General features: G+C 33.5%; 1 long non-coding RNA gene across 1 annotated transcript; it reads right to left on the bottom strand.

Annotated features, from left to right (window-relative positions):
* Nucleotides 1-1885: 1885 nt before the first annotated feature.
* Nucleotides 1886-7424, bottom strand: LOC107985490 (uncharacterized). Its single transcript, XR_001755097.1, has 3 exons — nucleotides 7337-7424; nucleotides 5370-5535; nucleotides 1886-1937 (listed from the first exon to the last, which is right to left on the bottom strand). It is a non-coding gene; the product is annotated as an uncharacterized LOC107985490 (long non-coding RNA).
* Between the last annotated feature and the right edge of the window lie 2013 nt (nucleotides 7425-9437).

Genomic DNA, 9437 nt, shown 5'->3' with positions numbered 1-9437 from the left:
GAACCCGGGAGGCGGAGCTTGCAGTGAGCCGAGACTGCGCCACTGCACTCCAGCCTGGGCGACAGAGCGAGACTCCCTCTCAAAAAAAAAAAAAAAAAAAAAAAGAAACCTACTGATTGACAGTTTTACTTCAATTTTTGCTTGCTTTCACTATATTAGAACAGTCTCAAAAACATCCTGGTGAAAATGCCATTATTTTCCAGTTTACTCAGGTCTTGTGACCAATTAAGTTTTTATAGCAATGCTGATATTAAATTACAATGCAATCTACATGGTGAAAATGGAACATAAGCGATGCATTTGCTTTGTTTTGCAGAAGTCATTATAAAAGATATATCCATTAATAAACAAAATATTTCAGCTACCAACATCATTAATAACAGAACATATAGGCTAATTTATTAATTAATGAAACAGATTTTAGTATCTTCAGCGAAATAAATAAAAACTTAAACTCCTGGAATAATCTCATTTATTATAAAACTTCAAGTATAGCAAAAATAAGTAATTCAATTAGTATCATTGTTTCTCAGTGCTATCACTGATATTAATAAAAACTCATAAAACTGTAGTAAATTCTGGTTCATATTTTTGCTGCTACCACTAGTAAAATGCAATTTTCTCTGAATCTGACCTCTGTTTTATTGCAGTCTACAATGTAGTTCTCAATGAAATTAAAGCAAAGGAAATCTATAATGTACTTTTTTATTCAACTCCACACAAGTTTTGGATCCTATCAAGTAGGAAATTGTGTCCAAATCATTCATTTTACAATATTTTATTATAACATTATAGATTTCTAAAAAGCTATTATATTAAAACAAAATCTAGTTTTAAATTTCCACTTATGCTTTTATTGTCCATAAAATTTTCAATTAATTTTATTGCAGCTCCATTAATATAGTTCAAATTATTTTCTAGCTGTATTATAATAATTTTGACTGAAAAACCAACTTATTTAAGCTTCCCTGTCAAAATTTGAAATATATCTCAGAAAATTCACAAAAATAACCTAGAAAATTCATAGGAAAGTTTAATTATAAAATCCAGAAATATTATGAAGCAGAGCTCATAGATATATTAGTAGTTTTGTGAATGGAGATCATAGTCTTTTTTCTTAAGAAGGTATATTTCCCATATGATCCTCACTTCTTTTTTGACCTTCAGGCAAAACAAAAATTGAACATAGGTATTCTGTAAATATTGATGACTATTTACAAAAAGAATGGCTCACTTAACCTCTTTTCCTAGCATAACATTCCATAAGTATCAATACAGTTCCAAATTTTGCATATATATATTAAACATTTCTAACATCTTATAACTCAAATATTTGTGGCAATCACACACTTGATATTTGGATTAGTGCATCCACAGATGTTTATTGTAAGGGAATGATCACTGAGCAATGACTAAAAGGGCCTGAACTCCCATCTGGTCGCTGCTATTTACTGACCTATGTGATTGTGAGATAAATTCTTAACAGCACTTGGCATAAGAATTCAAAAAATATCTGTTGAATCAAGATGGAAGTTAGACTAATGGAAACATATGTTGCAGAAAGAAAAGTAATATTGTATTAGTTTTCTATACTGTGTAGTAAATCATCACAAACTTGAAGCTTAAAATAGCACACATTTATTATGTCTTTGTTTCTGTAGGGCAGAAGTCAGGCATATCCTAGCTAAGTTCTCTACTCCAGGGTCTCACAAGGCTCAAATTCAGGTGTTGGCTGGGGCTGTGGTGATCAGAGCCTGGACTAGAGAATAATCCATTTCCAAGGCCTTCATGTTGTTGGTGGAATTCATGTCTTTGCAACTGTTGCCCTGAGGTTCTATGTTCAGCACTCAGCACTCTCAGTACTCAGTGGCCACTACAGTTCCTTGCCACGTGGCCCCCTCCATATGCTCTCTCACAACATGGAAGCTTCTTCAAAACTAGCAATAGAGAGAGAGAGAAAGGGATAGAGAGAGGGAGAGAAACTCTTACTTCAGGGATGATCCATTTTCGCTTTGAGTTCTTTTATCAGTAAAACCAGACCCACCTAGATTAATCTCCCTTTTGATTAACTCAAAAGCAACTTAATTGGGATCTTAATTACATCTCCAAAATTTCTTCATCTTTACCGTATCTCATTGATGAGAAACAATTAACATTCAAAGGGAGAAGATAATGCAGGAAGTGAACACCAGAAGTTGGGAATTACTGGGGTCATTTCAAGGTCTACTTGACAAAGATGGAATTGTAATAATCAAGTATAGAAAATATTCAACTTATTCTTTTTATATATGAAAAAATAGAGAAGGAATCCAATGAGGTCACAGTGTCCTAAGGTCAAATAAGATAAAGGCTAGGATGAAAGTTAGTTAAAATGGTTAACAGAACACTGACAATAGACAAACATTTTATTCATTTGAGTTATCTTACTTTGCCTAGATATCTGCTACACTCAGCCAGCTCTCACTTATTGTAAGAAATAAATATGAGGGGTGGGGACCGCAGAGAGAGAGATGCAGGTTGCTCCAGGCAAATTCACATTGGTAATTCGTGCTTGAAAATTGTCCACATTGTAAGATGTTGGGCTCATCTGGGCAATAATGGCTCTTAACTCTTTCCTTTGGAAGTGACTTTTATTCCTTACAAGAATCAATTCAGGATAAATAAAAGTAATTATTTACAACAACCCCTCCCACCACCCTAGGAGAAAATAAAAGTGTTTTTATTAAGCCCCATGGGAGAAGGGAAGTGTTCTTACAAATTAGATTTGAACATCATTTGATTAATTTTTTAAAAGTCAGCATAGTTTGGCACTTGTTTTTTTTCCTGCTAAAATAGAAAGATCTGAGCCCACTGTAAATGTGGCAAAGAGCTTTCATCTTTTCCAATGGAAATTTAATCTTACACGTGCTCTTCAGAGTGACAGAGTGACACCTTTGAGCAAAGGTTGTTTATCAAGCATTTGTTAAAGGATGAGGTAGGCCAACAGTCAGCAGCCAATTTCTCTTTTCCAAAGTTTTGGGCTAAGCAGAGCTGATGTAATTCCCAAATTCTACCTCTAAAGTGTAAGAACAGGAAAGAAAATTACATAATTGTATATTTTTTCCTACAACAACCTTCTCTCTAATATAGCATAAAAATTGTCAGATAATCACATGAAAAGTAACGTATAATTTATTTGAATTATTAATTATAACAATGAAAACCTAGAAAGTTATTCTTTGAAAATAAATGTTTTTACTAAGCATCTATTATGCACTATATAATATTCTAAATTCTTGGGAGAAGTGGAGAGAGTACGTTAACCCAAATATCTAATAATGGAGACTCATTAGGCATCTTATATTATGTTCACGTTGTTAAATGTTAAATAACCATTACAGTGCTATTTGTGAAGAATTCCTATTAACATTTTAAATTGAAATTTTAAATAAAAAGAGATTCAAATTAATATTTGCATAGATAAATTGTAGTATATTTATATAAATAAAATGTGATACAACAGTTGAAATAAAGAATCTAGAATAAAAAAGTTGACTTGGATAAATCTCAAACACAATGTTAAGCATAAAAAATAGGTTGCAAAAGAATAGTTTTAGCATAACCATATAATACTACACAGCAAAAGTATAGAAAAGGCACATAAACAATGAAAACCAAATTCTGTTTAGTGTTTAACTATGTGGGAGAAGGAGAGAGATTTGGGAGAGGAGAAAAAAGACTTCAATCATTTTTGTTAGATTTGTTTCTTCAGCTTCACAGAGGCACTTGGGGTATAGTAATACTTTCCTCAAAACCTATTTGCATTCTGAAATATTTCACTGTTAACTTAAAAAACAAATAATTTTTGGTTCCCGTATATTAGAGAGAATATGTAATATTTGTCTATCTGTGCCTGGCTTATTTCATGTAACATACACTTTAAAAAAATTGTACTTTTAGAGACAAAGAGTAGAATAATGGTTACCAGAGGCTTAGACGGGTACTGTTGTGGGGGGAGGCAGAGAGGGGTTCGTTAATGGGTACAAAAATACAGCTAAAAGTGATAAGACCCACTGTTCAGTAGCACAATAGGGAAACTAAGAGTTAACAATAATTTATTGTGTCTTTCAAAATAACTAAAATAATGGAGTTGGAATGTTTCTAACACAAAGAAATAATAACTGCTTGAGGTGATAGATATCCCAGTTACCATAATTTGGTCATTACACATGGTATGCTTGTATCAAAATGTCACATGTACCCCATAAGTACATACAACAATTATATATCCACAACTGTAAATTGCAAATAAAATTTAAAAATATAGGAATAAAACTATTAGTAGGAAAAAAACAGCATATCTTTTGAATTTTGTTACTATCTTTCTATTCAATGTGTATGTATTGGCTTTGTAATTGGAGAAAAAGCTATCATTCAAGTTAGTCTAAATTAATGACTATTCTACTTTTCAAGGTCATTCAGTTACTAAATTATGTTAGTATCTAGATTTTTATATTTTTTGCATTATTTCTGTTAGTGCTTTTTATGTTTACATGGTGATCATAATTTGTATTTAACAGTATGTTTAATTACGTCTCAAAACATATCTGTATAATTTTATGTCTCTAAAATTTGAAAGTGCTGTCAAAATTTGTATTCTCTAAATTTGTATATCTTAGCTTTAGTTTATTTAGAAAATAATTATGGAAATAATATCATAATCTTTTCTATTCTCAAAGACAGGTCTCACTCTCCTGTAGATGCATGTGAAATATTATGAACTAGGATGTTTTATTTTTATGAAACATAATTAACTCCTCCAATCTCCTTTTCTATCAGAGTAGTTGGTAGAAGGATACACTATAAATAACTTGTGCCTTTAGAAACACTTGTTCTTATTTAGGATAATACTAAATTTAGTACATGTATGTTTCAACCAGTTGGAGGGTGAAATTTGAAGTTTATGTAGATTAAATTCAGGTAGATGTAAATGCAAAAACCTTTGTTAAGAAATCTTAATTGAAATAAGAAATTAGTTATGGTTTCATGGATTTAAGTTAGAACCGGTCTTCCTTTTAATGTTTCTGTTCTCTTCTTCCCGGATTGGATTAATGATGGGCTTCTGAAACTGACTCAGTTCTGAAATACTTTCTGAAAACAGAAATTACATTAATAGTCAATGACTCCAACTGCTAGTTTCTCTTCTAACCCAACACATATGCTTCATGATCACCAGACACTGCGCACCAGCATTGAGTCTGGGTGCCCCAGCAGTGTATGAGATTTCACAACTGATCTTCCCTGTTGTTCAACTCAGTCTATGTTCTTGCTTCAAGATCAGGTAGTTTCATTTAAAAACTTCTCTAAGAATGAGACACTGGTAATCTTACCTTTTGGAAAGATTCTGTTCTCCAATCCTCACTTCTAGTAAAGTCCTACTGTGGCTTCTTCACTCCCGTAGTTCAGCAGGATGGAGTGATACTGCTCTTTCACTTCTGCATTTCAGCAAGTTCTGAGTTCTTGTCTCACGACCAAGAGGAATGAGGTGTGCAGACACTGGAGAGTGAGTAAGGCAGAGGAGAATTTTATTGAGTGACAGAAAGAAAGCTCTCAGGAGCAACAGGGAACTTGAAAGTCAGTTGTTGGCTGCGAGGTGGTTTTTATGGGCTTAGAAAGGGGAAATGTATGCTGATTGGTTTGTGGGTAGGCTTGGAAAAAGCACCATTCAGAAAGAGGTACAAGAGTGTAAAGAATCAATAGAGAGCTGAAGTGAAGTCTTAGCCCAGAACCAATGAGGGGCTGATTGCACCAAATGGAAATGGAAGTTCCCACCCTGGTCCACGGACTCTATCCAGGATTGGTAGTTTTGTGTACACTTTAGACTCTCCTTGGCTTGAAGGTTGAGTTTCACCAGGCACCTGTCCCTGTCTGCCCAGGAATTTCTCTGCTTCCTATCACTATCACTACCAAATTATAAAAATCTCTCAATGCTGAATATCACTCATTTTTTTACCTCTAACTTCTAATTCTACATTTAATAATATATTTTATCTCCTATACTCCTTAGTGATACCAAGACCAATAATATAATCAATAATAGCTACCACTAACTGAATATTGAATATGTTCTAGGAGCTTTAAATATATTCTTTCTATTGCCTTAATAACTCAAATTCGATATTATTTACCCTGTTTTACAGATGAAGAAGTTGAAGTTGAAATTTGTATAAAACATATCCAATTCCGTAAGCGGATGTATGTTTTATCAAAGACTGCACAATTTCCACTAAGATATAATGCCTGCCATCGAAAATAAAATAGCAGAGATGGCCCCAACAAAGCTGTTTCTCCCTTTCTTTATTTTAGCATTTTAGAGAAGGAAGATAAAATGAAGAGGGTAAGGCAAAATGAATCTAATGAAAAACAGAGAAAATTAAAAATAGATGAAAAATAGGGTAGAATGTTCAAGAAATATCAATGTTGAAGAGTACATTTTAGAGACTACAAACACTAAGAAACATGCAAAAATATAAAAAAATTGTAAGAAATAATGAAACTTCTTTCATCAATTCCTTAGGAAATATACTCCCCAATATTGTAAATTAAATGTTAAATTAATCAGAGTATCTAATCTTGAAATGTAGACACTTTTCTTAAAGGATAATGGAAGTGCTTTTCTGAGGTCAAGCATTCTTAAGCCAATCCTCATTATAAATATTTATTTCTGAATTGTCCTTCATACCTCCTTAAGAAGAATTGAAAAATAATGAATATATTTAACTCCCATATTTTGACTAACTTTAAAAATTCTTCTGTCTTTAAGATTTCAAGGTAATTAAACTAATAAAAGTGCACACCACTACTCTTGTAGAAAAATCTTTCAAGATAAAATCATAAGGATATTCTTTGCAATTCAATCCCAATTATCACAGGATCCTTTCTACACGGGAATTGATTTTTAATCCTTTGGAGAAGTACATATGTATCATGATTTCTTAATGGAATACAGAAATATTATTGAACACGTTAATACTTTTTACCTCAAGTAGAGATAGAAATGCCAGTTAGATATGTATATTATTTAGTATTTATGGCTTTCCCTTCCAGTATTATGCACCATATACAACTGATTTTATAATTATTAGAAAGTCAGAAATAATAAACATTTAACCTGCTAACTATTATTCAATCAATAAGCATTGCCTGTAAAATCACTAAATCACAAGGACAAGAATTTTAGCTTTATCTGATAGTTAACTGATGTTCTTGGCAAAGACAACTAGTCTCTGTGCAACGATATGGTATTTTTAATTATCAACTTATATTATTTTCACCTAAAATTATTTTTACTACTTACCACTTTTGAATCCCACCCTAAATTCAAAGTCTTTCATCTATAAAGATGAAGTTGAATGTTATTTTTGGCAACTTAATTTTGATCAAAATTATATTCATCGAAATTATTTTATTTAATTTTTTTTTTTTTTTTTTTTTGAGACTGAGCCTCACTCTGTCACTCAGGCTAGAGTGCAGTGGCGCGATCTCGGCTCACTGCAAGCTCCACGTCCTGGGTTCACGCCATTCTCCTGCCTCAGCGTCCGGGGTAGCTGGGACTACAGGCGTCCACCACCACGCCCGGCTAATTTTTTGTATTTTTGGTAGAGACGGGGTTTCCCTGCGTTAGCCAGGATGGTCTCAATCTCCCGACCTCGGGATCCATCCGCCGCCTTGGCTTCCCAAAGTGCTGGTATTACAGGCGTGAGCCACCATGGCCGGCCAAATTATTTTCAAAATTATATGATATCTTACTGAGTAACCTGTTAATGACAAATTTGATTTTTAAAAAAATTTTATTAGACCTTAAACAAATATAGCCATGCCAACTGTAATTTACTATTACAATGTTTAAAAGGGACAAAATGATTATTTTGGAGATGTTTAAAATTATTCAAATAAAAATGCTTAATACATAATATTATAATAAATATTGTATATATGTATTTCACATATGCAACTTGGAAAGAATAAAACAGAACCCATTACAAAACACAATAAACAGAGTATTACCAATACTACATAAGCACTCCATACAATTTCCTGAGCCGACCCTCCTCCCTCTTCTGAAGAGCAGGTGGCCAAGCTGATGTTTTTATCATGGCCTCAAGATTCTTTATCATTTTATGACATATAAATATATATATGCGTACTTAAAATATGTTTTATTTATTTTATGTTTATAAAAACAGTAGAAAATTGTATGCAGCCTTCTGTGAAATTTTTCTCTCAATTTTACATTTCTACAATTTATCGTGATTGAAGTATGTATATTTGGTATTTTTAGTACTGTGCAATATTTCATCATTTTAATGATCAACAATTTATTTATTCATTCTCAAATTGATGAGAATTTAGGCTGTTTCTAGTTTTTTTCCCCTCATGAGTAATATTGCTCTGAACAGTCTTCTTTTTTTTTTTTTTTTTTGAGATGGAGTCTCACTCTGTCGCCCAGGCTGGAGGGCAGTGGCATGATCTCGGCTCAGTGCAACCTCTGCCTCCTGGGTTCAAGTGATTCTCCTGCCTCAGCCTCCTGAGTAGCTGGGATTACAAGCGCATGCCATCATGCCTGACTAATTTTTGTAGTAGAGGCAGGGTTTCACAATGTGGTCAGGCCGGTCTCGAACTCCTGACCTCGTGATCTGCCTGCCTCGGCCTCCCAAACTGCTGGGATTACAGGCTTGAGACACCTCACCCGGCCTGAACATTCTTCTTTATATCTGCTGTTACTAAGTGTAAAAGTTGATTTTGTGCATGAGTGATATTCATGAGGCTTAAATTATGTTCATTATAGATTAAGGTAACTTAACAAATGGACCAAAATATGTAAATGACTCAAATATATTAAACCTCTCTTTCTTGCTTATGTATCAGTTCAAAGCAGGTGCCTGATCTCCATTCAGTAATTCAGAAATCAAGGTTTCTTTCCTCTTGTACCACATAATTGTGTGTGTGTGCGTGTGTGTGTGTGTATATGATTATCAGAAGTTCAAGAGAACATGAAGGTAGCACATCTATCTCCCAGAAACCTTGGCTCAATAATGGTGTACCGCACTGGGATGAACTGAATTATATTTCCACAAAATTAACACATTGATGTCCCACATCTCAGTATTTCAGAAAGTAACTATATTTGGAGATAAAAACAAGGTCATGAAGATGGGGTCTTAATCCAATATGACTGAAGTCTTTATAATAAAGTGTAAGATACAGCAGACATGCACACATAGAGAAGAATGGCTGTGTCAAGACAGAGTGACAAAATAGCTTCTGTAAATCAAGGAGACAGGCCTCAAGAGAAACTGAACTGGGGATGCCTTGATCTTGGAATTCTAGCGTCCAAAACTATAAGAAAATACATTTCTCATGTTTAAGACATCCAGTCTGTGGTATTTTGTGGCCAT

The sequence above is a fragment of the Homo sapiens genome, chromosome 21 (assembly GCF_000001405.40).
Source record: "Homo sapiens chromosome 21, GRCh38.p14 Primary Assembly".
In the NCBI taxonomy this organism is placed as follows: domain Eukaryota; kingdom Metazoa; phylum Chordata; class Mammalia; order Primates; family Hominidae; genus Homo; species Homo sapiens.
The sequence above is the reverse complement of the archived record's forward strand: the minus strand, read 5'-3'. Positions and strand labels throughout refer to the sequence as shown.